The following is a 21,035-nucleotide window of genomic DNA, read 5'->3' on the forward strand; positions in this document are numbered from 1 at the left end:
GTCTGGTATTATATATGCATTTATTAATGTACAAATTGACCTCAGAAATAGAATATATTTGTCAGGAGTTTTAGGTCTTGTGTTCCCAACACCTAACAATAGATACTTGTTGAATAAATTATGAAAGGGAAAAATAATTTTTAAGAAATTTTGAAAAATTAAAAAGGAAACAAAGGTGTCACAATGGAAACAAAATTTCACTTTTTTTCCTCTGAGTTTAGAGTAAATCTCAGATTCAAACACATCTGAGGATGTACAATTATCAATTATGTAATTCCAAGGGAAAGTAATTTGTACTTACAGGTTAGATATGATAATCAATTCACTTAATTCTACTCGTTTCCTTTAAAAAAAAAAAAAAAGAGGCTGTCAGAAATAATACATCACAGTAAAACCTCCTATCAAACAAGAAAAGATTGTATTTGGGAAAACATTTTCATAGACCTAAATTGAGTAACGTTTCCAACTTACATTTCACCAGTTAAGCTTCCCATTAGAAAATGTGTTTGTATGACACCAGTTCCACTTGCATTTTTTTCCCATAGGTTTCCCAGCAGACGTTTACAATCCTTTAGTGATGTTATAGCCAGAATTGTATTAGGTAATAATATAAAATCCCTAAATTTTATGTACAAACCTTCACTGATATTTTTAGTTATCATGAAAGAATCCTTGTATTTATTTCTATTCTAATTCTCCTCATGTCATTGGTATTTTATATGTATTCATTGTAAACATGTGTTGAATGTTCCAAATTTATACAAGCAAAACAATGTACATATTCTAGAGCTTAATATTTTCCCTCTCCCTGTTTTTTTTTCCGTGGCTTTCTCTTGCTTTCACTATTGCAAACTCTGACCCTGAGAGGCAAGAGTCGTGACCATTTAGTAAGATGTATCGTTGAGTATCATAAAATAGTTGGATAGTCTGCTATTTTTTTATAGTAGCAAAAATAGAATGTTCATATGCTTGCCCATGATTTTTATACATTTTTAAATTTGTCTACCACATGCCTAAATTTACCAAATTAAGTCCGTGTATATAAAACATTTGCACAAATGTTACTCAAGTTGTCTGAAATAAAAATACATGTATTTTGCAATTTAGAGCACATGACACTAAAGATGTATAGCTCCGTTAACTCACCTTCTGAACAAATTTCAGCAAGAAATTTCAGAATGAATATAAAAAAGTTAAGAAATATTCTAATATATAGTAGCTGAAAAGTTTACAGAAGTAAAGAAGAAAGACACAAATTAGTAGATTCTGAAGAATTATCTATACGAACCCATAACTATTCTCTTTATTTTGGATATTCTATTGTTTCCTTATAATTTGTTTATAAGTTTCCTTATAAATAAACAAATTATAAGGAAACAGTGGAATATCCAAAACAGAATATGCAAGCCAATTAACAATCACCATTTTTACCAACAAAAATATTGAAAGTCAGAAAATTGTGGAATATCTTTGAAGTGCTAATAAATGATAACGGCAAATCTAGAATTTTATGTCAATTAGATTTAGAATTCAAGAGCAGATCAAAATAGAGACATCTTCAGACAATCCAAAAACTGAGAGTTTACTACCAAGAATAGTAACTTTTACAGTATGTACCATAGAATAAAGGATAATTAACTGGATGTAAATTCCAAAATATTAGAAGAAGAAAGGATGTGAAAAAACATATATAAGCAGTCACAATTTTATTTAACAAACACACCAACAATATGTGATTTGTGGGAATAAGAAAAACAACATGAATATAAAATAATGAACAATTTGTAGCAAATATTTTTAAATAATTGCAATTAAAGAGCCCTAAGACTTTGTATTGTTTGGGCTTGGTGTTAGTAAACTTTATATTTTATGTTAATAATGTTTATTAGAATATCAAAATTGCCTAGCAAAAGAAAACTGATAATGTGAATAATTTCCAAAATAAAAGAGATAAGTTACAAAAAATGTTAAAGTAAACAAATGCAAAACAAGGCAAAAAAAAAAAAATCAAAGTGAGAAAGACCAGCAAAGTGAATAAAAGGAAGAAAATATGACTTTAAATATAAAAAAATAAATAAATGAAAACCTAAAAAATAACATGCAAGTTGCCAAAAGAAAACGATTTACTTGACTGAATAAAGGTCGTTAAAGGATTTCTTCAGCTGGTGAGCACCAGGCAAACCTGAAGACTAGGTGGTTCCAGACTGAAGTAGGATCAGGCGTCTAACAGAAGTCTGTGGAGTATGCCTGGTTTAGGCTGGACAGATATTTTCTGCTTTAACTGAAGTTGAGTTTAGGTTTTTGGGTTCTTTTCTGTTTGTTTTTGTTTTATCTGTTTATGTTCCACTTTCAGAGTCTCATTATCCATCAGAACAATATTATATGAGAACAATCTTTGCAGCTGATGGGCTAACCACGTTCCCTGGGTGGGGCAGGGGAAGTAGACAAGAATAAGAATGAAGTGGATGTAAAGGAAGAAGGCAAGGGGCGGGGGATTATTACCCTCTAGTATGTTTGTTTTAATCGCTTTACACGGTTACTAGTTTTCAAATTTACTAAATATTTTATATGATTCAAATCATTAACTGAGAAATTTCTTTCAAATTCAGTGCTCTTTGCAGAGTACTGGCTAGATGTTGGAATCCAAAAATGAACTGTGAAAAAAGGCCCGTGTCCTCAGGAACTTATGTTCAGAAGAAATGGAAAAACAAAATTAAATAAGTGGATAAATACATGTGTGTTGTTTTACTAAGACCTTATTTATTAAATATTTTGCTAAGCCTATAATATTAAATCAGCTATTTATATATCTCTATATAACAATGGTTCTAGAGTCAGGAGGTTAACCTTGTGGATTCCTCAGTGACCTTGAGTAATCACTCAACCAAAATACATTTGTATTTAAATACGAACATAAGTTCGAACATTACGTTGTTACCCTAGCCACTTCACAAAATACGTTCGAACACTAGGTTGTTACCCTAGACACTTCACAAAATATTTGAAAAACACATGGATAGACAATTTGATGATTCTATAAATCTGGTAAATGAATTAGAAATATTATAAAAGGTTTTTCTGAGAGGATACCATCGAGCAAAAAGAAAATGACTAGCATTTGACACTATGTAACTTTAAATCTATATTTCAGGGACCTCTGTCACTTTCTTGGGGAATTGAATCACCTATTCCTACTTAGCAGCATGAAAATGAGTTGACTCTCCAGGTTATAGCATTTGAAGGCATGCCTGAGAGGAGCAGATTCAAAAATCAACAGGTGGTTGATGTTTTCTGTGGGGAGCATTCCTGCCTCAGTCCTGCTGCTGTGACCCATTCCTAAACAGCTTTGGGGTCTACAGTCCCCCTTGGTACCTGCTGGGGATTTGTTCCAGGACCACCACCAATCCTACCACCATCATCCCTTCATAGCAAAAGCCAGAGATGCTCAAGTTTCTTATATAAAATGGCCTAGTATTTGCATATAACTTACACAACCCTCTTGTATACTTTCTATCATTTCCAGATTATTACTTACATTAATAATACTGAATACAATATAAATGCTATGCACATAATTGTTATAAGGATTGTTTTTTATTTGCATTGTTTTATTGTTGTATTTCTTTTTAAAAATTATTCTTGGTATTTCTTTTAACAAATATGTTTGATTCATGGTTAGTTAAATCCACCCACAATGGGGGTATGGAGGGTCAGCTGTATTCAGGAATTTGCATTAACAGACTTAAGAGCCTAGTAGATTCTTTGCTTAAATGAACTCTGTGCAGACACAGCATTCAACATTTCTATTTTGATACTTTAAGCAGACTGCAGTGTTTGACAAGCTATTTCAGTAATATGCAATAATCTTTACAAAATAGACATAGATGTTCTGTGACCCCAAATTCTCTGAAACTCTAAACTCAATTATTGAATCTATAGTGGTGTTTCTGATCAGATTACAAGATGAAGGAAGCAATGGAACTTGGCCTAATGTAATGAAAAATATTGCTATCTCTCCACTGATTATTTTGGATGATGGGAGAGCTGTATAGCCATTTAACTAAAGAGGAATCCTTTCAGGAACTACTCTGAAGTACTTTAAGAGATGGAGTTGCTGAAGAAAAAAGATTGAAAACAATTGGCTTAGCTGTTCAGAGCATGGCAAGAATGTAACTATAATCTGTCATTGTGTGGGCAGACAGATGGCCTGAAAATTGAATAAATTGGAAATCACTGGAAGGCAGCTATTTTGTCCTTGAGTGCATTAGGTATCTTGGAAAAATGTTATTAAATGGTGAACAATTGCTATCGAAAAGTTTCTAGTTGTTTGGAACATAGAGTTACATAAAGTCAAGATTCTATTATTATTCTAATAATAGATAAAATCCGAATGTAAAGAAAATGTTTCCTATGAACTATGTAATTTAATTCTTATCAGAGCAATACTTTAAACAATTATTTGATTAGCCTGTGTTTGTGAATGTATATAAAGTAAGCAATAACCTTATTTTCTCCTCTTTGTAATTTAATTCATTAGAAATTGAGAATCTCAGACTTCTCTCCAGCCCTATTAAATCTGCATCTTCATTTCCAGGTCACTCATACACTGTTTAACCTTGAGAAGCACTGTTGTATATTGTCTTGAGAGTCCACACTATGAAATAAATTGGCCCTTATTTACTCCTCAATTGAAATTCTTCAGACTTTCTTAAAGTTTCTAAATAAGTCCCAGTTAGTGGAAATGAACTGAATTTAGTTTAATTTTTTTTATCATGCATTGCTGTCCAAAAGAAGAAAGCTTATTTCTGCCAACTTCTTCTTATCCTCAACTTCCAACCACTGTCACGTCTGTCTTCTTTCTTTTTAATATTTTCAGGTGAATTAGAGGTTTGTCAACCGTAAGAATGAAATATATGGTTTATGGCCTATTTTTATGTAACTGGTCATTCTGAGATCTGGAAAACACTACCTGTGTTTATCTGCAACTAAAATCTAGACACCTGAGCCTACACTGCATAGCGAAACAGGTCACTAGAAAAACACAAGCAATTTAGAAAGGCTTTTAATATTGAACAGTTGCATTTTGTTTCTATTCATGTCTATCGCTTTCTCTTTTTTATTCTAAATTGCTTTATTATATTCTATATTTAATATTCTATCATTAACATGTCAATGACAGTCAATAATAATTGAGGACTCAGGTTTTGTCAATACACTGATTTATAATTAGTACAATATGTTATGAGTTTCCTTCGCACATTAATATTATCAGCTCTTCATTTTTTGTTGTTCACAATATATCTTCAACTACCTTTTTATTTTTAGGCAATGTACATATTACAATTTAAGAATAATATCTTCTTTGTTAAATATTTATTTCCACCCCTTTTCAGAAAATTAGATGGTTTACATTTATTGTTAGAAATAATATAAAGCTTTTCTGGTTTTGTGCTTCTAAATAATATTATTAATATATTCTTTTGTAATTACAAAAGCTCCTTGTTTTTGTTTTGTAATTACTTTCTCAATAAAATAGAGCTGCAAATATTTTGTTCCTTTAAATATTTCAAATAAATAATTTTCATTTATAATAAAAAATATAAAATATGCCAAAGAATTTATTATTTCAAAAAATATGTCATTCACCAATTTGCTTTTAGATTTGTGAATACAGTCTCATTTTATTTTAATACTTTAATCATAGATCTTAACTTTTTTATAATTAATTTTAATTTGTATTTAACATGGTAATAACATTTTTACTTAATTTTATATTGTTGGGTTAGTAGTCACTGTTAGTACACATAACTATTTTACTTTTTCAACATGTAATTTTCATTAATCTTATTCAGATAAAGTTCATTTTCACTATTTTTCTTCAATTGGAAATATTTCATATTTTAAAGACTTCCATTCCTAACAAATGTGGAATACAACATTTTTAGCTCAAAATATTTTTCAAAACAAAACAGAATTTTTCCAGTCTTCACATATAAAACTAAAGCAACAAGCTCAAGTCTATCCAGACATTTTATACTTCAGAAACGAAAATACTAATCTTACGTGTTTATGGCGGATGTTTTTCTTATAATTTTAGTTAAAAAATATTTGTAGAAGGTTTTTATAGTAATATAGTCAGAAAATTAGTCTGCATTTTTACCTACAAATTAAGCAGTATTTTAAAAATTAGCTCAGGAAATTTTATTTTATATTGTATTTTAGTCTGTATTTGAATGATATTTAAATTCTTAGATTTTCACTTTAGATGTGGGAACTCAGGTGCTTAATTCTATCCTCTTTAATTTTATATCTGTGATTTCTTCTGCTTTGTTTTCAGTTCTATTTTTTTCCTGCACTGCAAAAGAGTTTCTAAAGATTGTATTTAATATTACAAGCTTCATTTAGTGCTCTATCATTTGGCATTTACATTTTTACATAGTTTTAAAATTATATATATTTCTTTGTATTTTTTATCTAATTTTATACAATTTTAAAAATCATGCACCTCTAATATCTATTGACTAGGTTTAGCTTTCATTTCAGAGATAACATTAATAGTGAAAAATATTATCTTAAATGCAAAGATATTCATTATTTAAAAATTGATCAATGACATTCACTAAATTATCACAGGGACGAAAACATAAAATGATCATCTGTAGAGATGCAGAAAAATAATTTGACAAAATTCAGCACTGATTTATAAGAATTATCAGCAAAATAAGAACAGAAATGAAAATTGACCAACAACCAGAAATGACAGCAACAACAAAATACCAAGTCAGTAAAGATGGAGAGAAATAGGGAAGCAGTGAAGGTAGATGTCATTTCTGTTTTTAGTGGTGGAGTACAAGGTGTTCTTGTGCTTAAAGGTCATGTTCTTGTGATAAAACGCACTGCAGAGACAACACAGTTTAATTGGCTGAGGCAGGTGACTCCCTTTAAGCATCAGGGTGGAACAAACTACACGACAAAATGTAATTTTAAAGACCACTCTCATTCAAATGTAATAATATCAAAGCACCCTTAACTCATTAATGAGTGAAACAATGAGTGTCATGGTCTGAACTGTGTTCCCCTCCCCAAACCCGTATGTTCAAGCCCTAACCCCTAGTTATACACATAAGGTAAATGAAACCTCATTTGGACACAAAGTTTTTGCAGATGTAATCAAGCTAAAATTATGTCTGTAGGTGGGACTTAAAATAACATGGGTTGTCTTTATAAGAAGAGGGAACAGAAACAGATAGGATGTGGAGAGGACCATGTGAAGAGAGAAGCTGAGACTGAAAAGGATTTATGTATTAATATTGACAGAAGCCAAGGAACACCATCTGAAGTTCTGATGGCAACATCAGAAGCTAAGAGAAAGGCATGGAAAAGATTCTCACCTAGAGCATCCAGAGGAGAGGTTGGTCCTGCAGACACCTTGTTTTCTGACCTCTGACCTCCGCAACTGTGAGGGAAGAAATTTCTGTTGCTTAAAGACACACAGCTTGTGGTACTTCATTATAGCAGCCCAAGGTAACTAATATAGATGACAAAATTGGTTCCAAGGGTGTTTGAGGAACTGGACCTTTATAGGCATTATTTTCATAATACTGCATTAAGCTATGATAACTGGACTAGATTCAAAATTGGATAATGCCCTAAATGCAATAAAGCTATAATTTTGAGATAAAATTTTAATAGCTTTATGAGATATAATTAACATCTGGTATACTGCACATTTTTGAGGTGTGAAATTTTTAAACATTAACATACGTATATACTTGTAAAACCATCACACTAGAAAGAGATCTCAAGCCTCTTCTTTTGACTTTCAACACATTGTCAATCCAGTACTAATCTGGTTTTATTACCATATATTAGCTTTTATTTTCTACAATTATATATCAGTAGAATTATAGAGTATGAATTCTTTTTGTCTTTTTTCCTTAAGCATAATATTTTTGAGATTCAACAATTTCTTGCATGTTGAAGTAGCACCTTTTTTTATTGTTACGTATTATTTCATTTCATAGACATACCACTATAATTTATTTACTAAACTCTTGACCAGAGGTTCTCAAATGAGGGACATTTTACCTGCCGGGGACATTTCCAATGTTTGGGGACACTTTTGGTTATCAGAGGTTTGTGGAGGAGGGGATAGAGTGTCCACAGGCCAGGGTTCCACAAAGGATAGCTCCCCACAACAAAGAATTAAGCCACTTCAACAGCTAATAGTGCTGAACTTGAGAACGCCGCTCTTGGTGGACAGTTGCATGGTGTCTGTTTTTGACAATAATGAATAAAGGTACTTGTGCAAGCCTTTTTACAGACTTATGCTTTTCTCCCCCCTAGGATAAATGCCTAGGGGTAGAATTGGTACATGTAAGGTAGATTTAGTTATCCAAAGTAGCTGTACTGTGTTACACTCCCACCGTCGATGTATGCAAACTCTAGAGTCTGGTTTCTTGACATCTATGCCAAATATTGGTAACACAATTTTTAAAATAGTAGCTTTTCTAGTAGATGTGTATAATTATCTCATTTTATTTTTTATTACTAACGATATTAAGAAATTTTTCATTTGCTTATTTGCTATTATATCATTTTTGTGTAGCATCTGTTAGTTTTTATAGCTCTCTTGTTTCTATGTTGTACATTATATTTATATATTCTTGCTCTTATTCATAATAAATAGTATATATAATTGTGTAATTAAAAATAAACATTAAAGTATAAATATATTTACACATTTCTGTAGTTTATCATTATATAATTATTGCTTTCTGAATAAAAAGAAATGTATCCACAGTTTGGATAAAAAGAAGTGCTTTCATGTAGTTTACTAAGACATTTTCTGTGCTTTATATTTGAAGCCTATGCTTTCACTTTTACACATTGTTCCATAATATATTTTGGACTCCTTTAATTTTGAACTCATTCACGCTTTTGTTGTGAGGAAGGACTTGAGGTTTGTTTTCTTCACATTTATCTCGTAGTTCTGCACACTTTGTTAAATAAAATTATCTTTCCCCTTTGAATAACTGCAGTATCTTTGATATTATATTATTCATATAAGCATGGATCTATTTGTGAACTCTATTCCATTCCATTACTCTAATTGTTTATCCATCTACTAATAACACATTCTCTCGATGACTATAGCTTTAAGTTATTGCATGGTGTTAGGAAGTGTGAGTATTCCAACTTTTTTTTCAGCTTTCTATCATTTGTTTTTGCTCTCTTGATGTACATTTTTAAATCAGTGTGTCAATTTATATAAAAATATCTTTTGTGATTATGGTGAGGATTTCTAGAATGATTAATTTGGAAAAACCAAAACCTTTTACACACTAAAATTCACTGAACTTTCAAGCCATGATTATTGTATTAGTTTGTTCCGGCATTGCTATAGAGAAATACAGAAGATTCGACAATTTATGAAGAAAAGAGGTTTAATTGCCCCACTGTTCTGCAGGCTATACAGGAAGGATGATGCTGGCATCTACTTAGCTTCTGGGAAGACTCAGGAAACGCACAATCATGGCAGAAAGCAAAGGGGGACAGGCACGTCACATGGCCAGAACAGCAAGAGAGTGAAAGGGGAAGCTGCTACACACTTTTAAATGACCAGATCTCATGAGAACTCACTCACTCACTATTATGAGAACAGTATCAAGAGGGATGATGCTGAACCACTCATGAGAAATCCACCCCATGATCCAATCACTTCCCATCAGGCCTCACCTCTAACATTGGAGATTACATCATACCAGATTTGGGCAGGGACACACATCAAAACCATCAATTATTGTATGCGACTCCATTTATTTAGAACTTTCCTACATCTCCCAACACTTTTGCTAGTTTCCTATTTAGAGAGATCTTGCATGTAATTTGTTAAAATCATATATACATATTTTATTTTTATTAGTATTTTACATGGATTTGATTTTTATCATTAATTGCTCATTGGAAATATATAGAAATAAGTTAATGGGTTGACTTATTTTTTCTATGATGTGGCTAAAATTACTAGTTTATTCCAGCAGCTGATTTTTACAGTCACTAGAAGTTTATGTGTAGGTAATGGAGTTGTTTAAAAATTTAGAAGTGTATTTTTCATTTCTTAACTGTGTATGTTTTACTTATTTATTTGATTTGTCTCACTGGTTAATTCCTCCCATACAGTAGAGAGAACAATAGTGAAAGAGGACACTTTGTCTTCTTCTGGATCTTAAATGAATAATTTATTAGTTCACACTTCAGTGTGATATTTCCGTAGATGCCTTCTATTTGCTTAAGGATGCTTCTTTGTATTCTATTGGGGCGAGATATTTTTATTATAATTCTATCTTGAAAATGCCAAATGTTTTTTCTGCCTCAGAGGAAGTTTATATATTTTTTTCATTTTACTCAGTTAATGTGGTGAGTTTGAAAATTCAAATACTTGAAAAATCACGTTCCCATCAAACACTGCTTCTTACTGTCCCTTTCTAAGAGGACTACCTTCAACTTGGGCATTTAGAGGATACTTCCCTTCCTATAGCTCAGGGTTTTTTTGTATTTTTTTTATGTTTAAATTTTAGTGATATTTCTTTTATGTGTTTTTAAAATATTTTATGGGCTACTGCATTGACCCATTTGTTTCAACTTTACAGCTCTAGTTAAATATAAAAATTAATAAAATGTCAACACTCAAGTATTACATATATCCCTTGATCTGGTGATTTAGGACTATGAGAAAAATGCTCAATTTCCCTCGATAGAAGGAAGTATGAACTTTTTTATTTATTTATTACTGTAGTCTCACAGCCTAAAAATCAGTAGGTCTCCACTGGTCAGCAAGCAAATGATCATGATTATTTTTCTGAATTTTTGACAATTTCAGAATAGGCAAGAAAGCTAAGTTTTAAAAATAAAATGCCAACATCAAGAATTTAAAATCAAATTCGTCACAGTGAATCCCAACAGGAAATAGTTCTTCATTTTATGATTACTCAGAGATTTTGCTTGTTGTAGTGGTCTTCCTTCTGGCTCATAATTTTTTGCTACTCTGCAGCAGAAATAATAAGAAATATTTTCCCAGTCCACAGCGGTGAAGGAGAAGAAAACTATAAATCAAAAGTAGCATATTCTGTGGATCATTTATTGAAATAAACACAGTGAGTACAAGATGGGTAATCTATTTGCATAATCAAAGACACCCTTCATCTGTGTCTATTTTTCTCTTTTCTTTTCTTTTCTTTTCTTTTTTTTTTTTTTTGAGACAGAGTCTCACTCTGTTACCCAGGTTGGAGTGCAGTGGCATGATCTTGTCTCACTGCAGACTCCGCCTCTCGGGTTCCAGCAATCTTCCTGCCACAGCTTCCTGAGTAGCTGGCATTACAAGGTATGGGCCACCATGCCCGGCTAATTTTTGTATTTTTATTAGAGATGGGGTTTCGCTATGTTGGCCAGACTGGTCTTGAACTCCTGGCCTCAAGTGATCTGCCCGCCTCAGCCTACCAAAGTGCTGGGTTACAGGCATGAGCGACTTGCCTGGCTATGTCTATTTTTAACATAGTTATAGTGAACTATAATTATTTTTACACAAAAACTATTCTTACAAATGTTATATGTATTTTAAGAGCATACAAACTTACAGGTTTTTTTATTTAATAAAAACCAGTGGCAGATTGATAATGCAGAATATATTATTTATAAAAAATCATTTGTTGTCATACAAACATATATTTTATTTGAAAATTATACTTTTGAATAGCTTTTTGGAAAGTTAAAGTATTCTCATTTATTGCATACGTTTGTCACCAAAATTATACGAAAGAGTGTTTGATTCAAAATGTGTGTGTGTGTGTGTTCCTATATAGGACCCAGATAACACATATATATTAAATAAATAAATACATGTATATATATATATCATGCACACACATTTAAATATAATGTAAATGTGTGTGTGTGTGTGTGTGTGTGTGTGTATGTGTATGTGTATGTGTATGCAGATGCCCCTCTGGAAACAAATTTAAAAAGAATCCCCTCTTTTGAGTGTATAAAGAAGTTCCTTTCTTAAGGAATGGATAACAGGGGTTGGTACTTTGGCTGAATTCCTCTTCCTCTTACTTTCATTAGACTTGGCACTGTTGCATAGAACACAATTTTCCAAAATGTAATGTCTGTGTTATGCCTACAAATGTACCATACATAACAATTTGTCATTTTCTGTAATTACATACTGACCTATTTAACATTTATCTAACCACTTATATATCTTAATCAAAATAAATCAACCCATGTAAATTGTTTATTTCTATTGTCTTTCTCAGTATAATGCACAAGATACCTTTCTATCTCTATATGTATTTGTCATTTTCATGTCTGTCCCTACATGAGTTGACTCTATTTTTCTGTTACATAGATATGTGATGTTAGTACAATATATGTTAACTAAAAATGGATGATGCAACCTTTTAAAATTATGACCATCGCAGTGAAAATTATGTCTCTAAAATATCAGGGGCTTAGGTATTTTCAGATTAAATTAGGAAAAATAGAGTATCTTTCCATTTATTTATGTGGGCAAATTTCCCATTTGTTCACATTAAATCTTTTAATGGCATATTGCCTAAATCTTTCTCAGAAAAGCTTAGCCAAATTGCCTAGGATGTTTCCTTTCTCCCATATTACCATCACTGTTTACCATCATATTTCTAATAATTTTAATTTTGGAACATGAAAATGGTATTTCAATTTAAATGCGTATGTTTTTCTATTTGCAAAGAGATTAAACATCTCTTCAAGTTTTTAAACTATATGCAGCCCTTCTTTTCTGCCATACCTGTTCATTTCCTCAAGCTATTTTTCCATCAGACAGTTTCATGTTTTCTCATTGATTTGAAGCTTCTATTAAAGTATTGTATACACATGGGTAAATGCACATAAGTTTAAAGCTTAGTGAGTTTTAAAATACTATGATCATCCAGAATAAGAAAATGTAATAGTCACACACCTGATTTCCACCCATCCCTCCTAACATAACACTATTCTAACTTTTACCAGTAAGGAATCAAATAGTGTGTGTAGTGTTTTGAACCACATTTTTTTGCTTAATATTATATTTGTGAGACGAATTGACTATATGACCTGCAAATGAAACTATTTATATTTATTTCTCTAATATTTTATTAGGTGATCATATTACAACTTATTTGTTTACTGTACTCTTTATAAGTATTTTAGTCCACTTTTGGGCCACAGTTTGGGGTTATTTTGGTGTTATTCTGAAAAGTGTTTTCATGAGTACACATTTTTTTTTAGCTATATATATGCATGCATTTCTGGAGAAACCATCTTTACAAGTAGAATTTTGGGGCCTAATACATATCTTTATCCAAATTATTTGAACTAAGTTATGCCAATAACATCAATTTGAGTGTTCTAATTAGTCAACATTCTCATCAATACTTTGCACTTTCTCTTCAACTTAGAATTCTAAAATATTCCTTTCAAATTCAGGATTCTGAATGACAAGTACTTACATCTCATTGTGGTTTGAATTATTTTTTCAGGTAACCAATATAAATAAAAACCTTTTAATAAGTTCATTGGTTATTTGAATATTTTATTTTTGAAGTGTCTAAAGTATTTTCTTTCTAATCCAGTCCAGTTATTTTTCTGTGGTTTGCTTCTTGTTGTCTTATTGAGTTCATTGCCTTTTTAATATTCTTTTCCGGTTAACATTTCCCCCTCACTGATCTGAAATGTTTTCATTATATACCACCTTTCCATATCTGTCAATGTCTTGATTTTCTATATGATCTTCATCTATCTGTAGTTATAACTCATTTTAATCATAGAAGCTTTAAGAATTGCTTAATATTTTGTATTGACTCCAAATTCCATTGATTTTATAGGATATTTCTAGCTATTCTTGCTTCTTTATTCCTCCAAGTAAATTTGTCTATTTTTCTAAATCTGGAAAAAGAAATTCTAGAAAATGTCGTTTTGTTATGACACAGAAGATATAAGTTTATTTAAAGAACTGGCACATTTATGATTTTAAGGCTTTTTCAAGAGCATGGAATTTCTTTCCCCGTGCTCAAGTCCAAATTTGTGCCATTCAGAAGTGTTTTCTAGTTTTTTTTATATATAGGTTTTAAACATTTCTGGTTAAGTTTATGCCCTCACATTTTATTTTAGTTTGGTTAATGACGTTTTACATGTGTGAGTTCCCTCAATTATTTGTTTTAAATGTTCTGATTCAATAGGAACACTCTCCTTAGTATCCTTAACAGAAATGATTCTTGTTTATAGAATTGCTAAATAAGTAAAGAAATTTTAAGTTAAATCATGGCAAGGAGTTATAATTATACTAAGCTTTTTTGTTCCTAGAGGTTTTGGCTCACTCATATGGTAATCTATATGAAAATTTTTCTGTGATATCTAATATTAGAAAGATCCTCAGTGATAGAATAGTGTTTCTTCCTAGCTGATTCATACATCTTTCTCTGCCAACATTTTGTTTGTTGAAGTGTTCCCCAACATATGACTCATTGCTTACTAAATCCCTATTGAGCAGCCAAAGCCCTGGTGACTAATTATGTCATTAATTTGGGAAAGTCAGAGACAATAAGACTGTCAGTTGAAACTTTGTAGGAGGTAAAAAAGTCACTGCTGTCAGCTGCAAAGATCCTTAAAACGGTCTTCAGTAAAGTCAAATTTTGTGACAAGAATTATTGCATCAAAGTCGGGGAAATACCTCTTAGATCAAATAAGATACATTGAAAAGCCAAAAATTATTTTTATCTCACTTTGGGTTCTCATAAGGTCTACCCACTGTTACTTGGATATGAGACTTAACAAATGGAAAAGAAGACAGGGGTACTGTCACACTGTATTTTCCTACGGCCTAATGACCACAATGGTTGATGAACTGCAGTAAAGTTTCTATAATATTTTCCATCTATTCATTTGCTCAATCACCTTGTAATGGTTATGTTGGTTAATTCCAGTCTTTCATGGGTAAGCAACAAAATGAGACTTAATTTGAAATATCCAGTATTTTTCTATTCTTACAAATAATTTTCAGGATCAATGCACTGAGGATTAGGAATGGCAATGTGTATTACTACTTTGATACCAACTATATCCAATCTAATGTTGGAATTTGTTTGACAAAGTGTTATGTATTTGAAAACAGGCAGCACTGAATAAAAAGAATATGGGCAAAAGAAAAATGGAAGTGTTTTGAATGGAAGTCTAAAATATTTATTGATCAATGCTGAACTGAGTAAGCAGGAGATGCCTGTACATAAATGACATTATCCTGATCTAGTAACAGGGAGAAGCAGAATATCTGAAAGCTGTTTATTAATTTGATAATAATAAGATTAGAAACATGCAAATCAAGATTAATAGTATTCACTTCTAATTGGGTTTAGGTAGACTTTGACTATTTTGCTTCTGATGTTCTTATATTTTTAATTTTCTATAATGATCATATAACATATAATATTTTCATAATATTAAACATTTTAGAATTAAACTCCATTAGAGTGTATCTTTCCTAAAATAATATAAACATCCAATCTTGTCCTTAACAATTCTGTTCTCAAACATTAGCCTATTCCCTCAAGCCAGTGTTGCTTTCGACCCATATTGTCCATCATTTCAATTTATCTCAAAGTTTTTTATTGCAACAATTAAATGCTTTGAATGATACCCAAGGCATAGTTCTATTTCAACAAAATTTCAAAGTTAATAGTTACATCAAATTTTGTTGGTGCTCATTGAATTTGGTTATTAAAACCATAAGTAGTATGTTTTATGCTGACTGAGGGAGATAAAAGTAGTAATGTTTAATATTCAAACTGTGATGACTGAAAAAAAAATGAGGCCTGTAAAATCTTATTTAACGTCAAATTTTAATTAAACAGGCTTAGCAGACCAAAATTAAAATCTCAATTATTTTTAAATTATTAATGACAGACAACTAGATTGAGTGAACACTGGCATCTCTTTTCAAATAACTTAGTTTAGTGGATGAGTTAAACATAAACTAGTTATTATAATGCAGCGAAGTATGTGAAAAATTTAATTTGAACCCTACTTAGCTTAAAATCCTGACATTCTAGGATGCAAGTCCTGCAAACTTTCCATATGTAATCAACAATTTTCTAAACATGCATGCTGTATCTCTCCTGTGTGACTTTGCATACATCATTCCCACATTCTAGATCATCCCGACCCACCTTAAGTGACTGCTTTTGCATAATCTCCCTTAAAATTCTAACTCAAGCACTGCATCTTTTGAGTCCTTCCCTAACATCTTAACATCTTCCTTCTTTCATTCATTATTAACTATAGTTAGTTATTATAGCACCTGTTAGCACTGTAAAATTATGTGTGTTACACAAGTACAACATGCAGACTAAGGTCGTGTATTACCTAGCCTCATACCAGCGTCACCTAGAACAGCAAAAATGTATGCAGATTAATCACAATATATTTGGATGTACAAAATATATTGAGAGCAAAATATGATGGAAATTTAGGTGATGCTCTTTGAGCATTGCTTCCATTTTCCAATAATGTAACCAGGAATCACTGTTCATGTAATTAAAGAACAATAAGTCTATGTGAATCAAAATATACATATACATGCAAATGTTAAACCTCAGCAGGAAGAGGCCCATTCTCTTGCTTGCTGATATATATATATATATATATATATATATATACACACACACACACACACACACACACATATATGTATGTTGTGTGTATATGTATATACACACAACAATCTATAGGCTTGCCTTTTAAAATAGTATAAGCAACAAATTTTAAGAGAAACAATAATGAGTGTGTAAAACATTAGATATGTGTATGTACCTTTGCTATTATTTGTGGAAATGGGGCTATAAAATAAGCTCCTTTATTTTCTTTTGTAAAACATTTCTTTAATATGAAGTAATGCAATACGTATTTATGTTCTAAGTGTTAATTTCCTTGGATATAAAATAATATCTTGTTCCTTTGATTCTCTTACATATAAGTGTATTTACTCAGATATTACTCCAAATACACCAGATATATTCAAAGTTGAAAAAATATATACTTTGGAATGTATTATCACCTTATTTCACATGAAGAAATCAAAATCTCTGGCATCCAAGTGCATTCCAGCCTGAAAAAAATTATGCAATTGTGAATTTAACAGAAAGCAAATTGCTCACATATGGAGTCAACGTGAAGCTATATCAATATTTATTAAAAGTTTATATATTACTTTTGATCCCCTGGAGAGAAATACAAAATTCAAATAATTATTCTATTTTTATATCCCAATTTGTAATTATGAAACTCTAGCATTTTAATTTTTCTCTTTCAAGTTTACCTGAAGCTTCACAAAATTCTGTGAGGAATCTATTATAACAGGTATTTTGCTTATTTCCACACAAACAGAAGGAAATGTGTATTTTCTATGCCCTGAAGAATTTACTCTTTTCTGTAAATGACATATGGTAGTTAATTCTTTTTGGTAATAAAATATTCCTGTTTTTAGGCCGAACAGCCTTTTCTTTAAATTCAGGGCAACATATCAAAGCTTTGCCGTAATAATACAGAGTAATCGACTAAAGTAATATAGAATTTAAATAACAAAGAGTTTAAACAATTTAATATGTCTTCTATTAATTTCAAACTGAAATTTTACAGAAATTATTTGGAATATGCTGCCAGAGTACACACACACACACACACACACACACACACACACAATCACACGCTCACATCACACACTCACACCCAGCTAAAGGAAATTACCACAGCTATAATGATTTCATTAAATATCTGAAATTAAAGTTTCTTTTGGATTTTCAGCTGAAGCTCATAGTAAATAAAAGTAATATGATCATTGTTGCATACTGTGAATCAACAGCACCCAGAAACCTTCGACTTTCTATATTTACACAGCTTAATTATCCGAACTGAAACCTGAGGCCATCTGTGTCAACATGATTTCACAATTCATTCCAGAAAATTATTTTTCAGGAAAGTAAGGCTGCAAACCAATAAATAACTTATTGTTTGCTTCAGGAAATTTCTGCAAATCAATTTATGTCAGTAAGCAACTCTCCTCTGGGCCAACAGATTGCTCACCTGGGCAGGTAGCAGCTTGTGTCAATTAACAGTTTACTTATGAAGACTTCTGTCATGGCCCTTAACTCACAGTGTCCCCCAATCCTAAACTCTATGTCCTGAACATTACCTATTCTTATCAGTCATTGGTCTTGAAAGGCCCCGGGCAACCATTTGAGCCCAGACTTCAATACTCTATCAATACCACCTTATCATCTACTTTTCTAACATGACCCCTCAAGGTGGTGACCCCACTTACAGTCGTCTTTTATTGAATTTAGCTTTCCCTAATCAACATGCTAGTCTATTGGATGCAGTGTCGGAGGCAAAAATCACAGAGGTTCTGAAAGCATCAGCCCATGGTTTTCTAAACATCATGGTTCAAGACCCTTAACACGAAACAGAAAGTTTCCCCGAGGCGCCGTAAACAACCCATTTGGGCGCTTCCCTGATAATTATAGTGAAATCTGGCATCTAATTTTTTTTGGTGGACTCTCAAATTTTATATTTATGTTTTGATTCCTAGAAATAAAAAATGTTTTTATAAGGAATTCTTTGATCGTTTATGTTTTATTCTTGATAGAAACCTACTACTTTATAACTTCGTTTATGTTTTACTCTTGATAGAAACCTACTACTTTATAACTTCGAACATTATTGATGTTCTTCCTGTATTTCTGAGAGGTGACAGCTTGCTGGCATCCCTCGCTGGCTCTCGGCACCTCCTCGGCCTCAGCCCACTCTGGCCGCGCTTGAGGAGCCCTTCAGCCCGCAGCTGCACCGTGGGAGCCCCTCTCTGTGCTGGCTGAGGCCTGAGCGGGCTCCCTCTGCTGGCGGGGAGGTGTGGAGGGAGAGGCGCGGGCCGGAACCTGGGCTGCCTGCGGGGCTCGCCGGTCCAGCGCGACTTCCGGGTGGGCGCGGGCTCGGCGCGACTTCCGGGTGGGCGCGGGCTCGGCGCAACTTCCGGGTGGGCGCGGGCTCGGCGCGCCCCGCACTCTTGAGCGGTCGGCTGGCGCCGCCGGCCCTGGGCAGTGAGAGGCTTAGCACCCGGGCCAGCAGCTGCGGAGGGTGCACTGGGTCCTCCAACAGTGATGGCCCGCCGGCGCCGCGCTCGAATTTTCGCTGGGCCTCAGCCACCTCCCCGCGGGGCAAGGGGGCAGGGCTCGGGACCTGCAGCCTGCCATACTGGAGCCCTCACCCTCCTCCCCGCCCCCGTCCCCTGCCCCCCGCCCCCCGCCCCCCAACCGCAGGCTCCCGCGCACCACCCCGAGGGGACGGGCGCCACCTCCTGCTACGCGGCACCCGGTCCCGTCAACCGCCCAACGGCTGAGGAGTGCGGCAGTGCGCCAGAGACTGGCGGGCAGCTCCGCCCGCGGCCGGGATGCACTAGGCAAAGCCAGCTGGGCTCCTGAGTCCGGTGGGTACTTGGAGAACTTACTGCGTCTAGCTGGAGGATTGTAAATGCACCAATCAGCATGCTGTGTCTAGCTCAAGGTATGTGAACGCACTAATCAGTGCTCTGTGTCTAGCTAATCTGGTGGGGACTTGGAGAACTTTTGTGTCTAGCTAAAGGATTGTAAACAGACCAAGCAGCTCTCTGTAAAATGAACCCATCAGCTCTCTATGAAATGGACCGATCATCAGGATGTGGGTGGGGTGAGATAAGGGAATAAAAGCAGCTGCCAGAGCCAGCAACAGCAACGTGCTAGGGTCCCTTTCCACAGTGTGGAGGCTTTGTTCTTTTGCTCTTTGCAGTCTTGCTGCTGCTCACTGTTTGGCTCTGCGCAGAACTGTAACACTCACCAAGAAGGTCTGCAGCTTCACCCAAAGATATTCCAAAGATACAGAAAACTATATAGAGACATTTTGTATAGTTCTAATAGCATATAATCCACAGGTCCCTGATCTATAATATGGGTTTTTTATAAAATTGTTTTTTTGTATGCTATGAGGAATTTTACTTGTTAAAAAGAAGAGGTGGAAAGGCAGAATATGAAAACTATGAAAATGACATAAGAGACTATGAATTAGGTGAGAAACCAGAGAGGTTTAGAAACCTGTAGACATTGTGCATCCCCCAATGCCTTTCCCCTTAAAAAAATATTATATTCTAATCCAGTCCATCAAATAAAGTCTACATTCATTAGAAACATATTCTCTTGGTTTTTATAATTTCAGTTTTTTCCAGACACAGATAGTGCATATGCAGATTTGTTACTTTTGTACAGTGCACCCTGGTAGTGAGCATAGTACCCAGTAGGTAGTTATTCAGCCCATGCTCCCCTCTCTCCCCCACCCCCATAGCCTGCAGCATGTCTTGTTCCCATGTTAATGTTCCTGTGTGCTCAGTGTTTAGGTTCCACTTATAAGTGAGAATGTGTGGTATCTGGTTTTCTTTTCCAGCACTAATTTGCTTAGGATTATGTCCTTAGCTCCATCCATGTTGCTGCAAAGGACATAATTTCATTCTTTTTTATGGAGGCATAGTATTCCATAGTGTATATGTACCACATTTTCTTTATCCAATCCACCTTTGATGGGCACCTAGGTTCATTCCATGTCTGTGCTATTGTGAATAACATGCTGATGAACGTACGAGTGCATATATATTTTTCTGGTAGAATAATTTATTTTCCTTTGAATATATACCCAGTAATGGGAATGCTGGGTCGAAGGGTATCTCTGTTTTAAGTTCTTAGAGAAATCTCCAAAATACTTTCCACAGTACCTGAACCAGTTTACATTTCCATCAACAGTAGTGTATAAGCATTCCCTTTACTCTGCAGCCTGGCCAACATCTAATTTTTTTACTTTTTAATTATAGCTGTTGTGACTGATGTGAGATGGCATCTTACTGTGGTTTTTGCTTGCATTTATTTATTTGATGATTAGTAAGGATGAGT

The 21,035-nt window shown here is 33.6% G+C and overlaps 1 long non-coding RNA gene across 2 annotated transcripts, besides 3 other annotated features; it reads right to left on the bottom strand.

The window, feature by feature from the left end:
• Window positions 1-267: 267 nt before the first annotated feature.
• On the bottom strand, window positions 268-19,049 carry LOC105379021 (uncharacterized). Of its 2 annotated transcripts, none has more exons than XR_948438.3 (4): window positions 18,768-19,049; window positions 17,129-17,179; window positions 7,392-7,456; window positions 268-343 (listed from the first exon to the last, which is right to left on the bottom strand). It is a non-coding gene; the product is annotated as an uncharacterized LOC105379021 (long non-coding RNA). The 2 variants fall into 2 exon arrangements; XR_948436.3 differs by having other exon boundaries at window positions 18,154-19,042.
• Window positions 18,665-19,471: an enhancer, noted in NCBI's record as "H3K27ac hESC enhancer chr5:69696534-69697340 (GRCh37/hg19 assembly coordinates)". NCBI's record gives its function as "activates a minimal SCP1, AML or CMV promoter by ChIP-STARR-seq in primed H9 embryonic stem cells {active_cell/tissue: H9 hESC(primed)}" and the evidence as "EXISTENCE:reporter gene assay evidence [ECO:0000049][PMID:30033119]".
• Window positions 18,880-19,174: an enhancer, noted in NCBI's record as "tiled region #3898; HepG2 Activating DNase matched - State 24:Quies, and K562 Activating non-DNase unmatched - State 9:DNaseU". NCBI's record gives its function as "activates a minimal TATA promoter and a strong SV40 promoter by Sharpr-MPRA in HepG2 and K562 cells {active_cell/tissue: HepG2 | K562}" and the evidence as "EXISTENCE:reporter gene assay evidence [ECO:0000049][PMID:27701403]".
• Window positions 19,472-20,276: an enhancer, noted in NCBI's record as "H3K27ac hESC enhancer chr5:69697341-69698145 (GRCh37/hg19 assembly coordinates)". NCBI's record gives its function as "activates a minimal SCP1, AML or CMV promoter by ChIP-STARR-seq in primed H9 embryonic stem cells {active_cell/tissue: H9 hESC(primed)}" and the evidence as "EXISTENCE:reporter gene assay evidence [ECO:0000049][PMID:30033119]".

Source organism: Homo sapiens, chromosome 5 (assembly GCF_000001405.40).
Source record: "Homo sapiens chromosome 5, GRCh38.p14 Primary Assembly".
Lineage (NCBI taxonomy): Eukaryota > Metazoa > Chordata > Mammalia > Primates > Hominidae > Homo > Homo sapiens.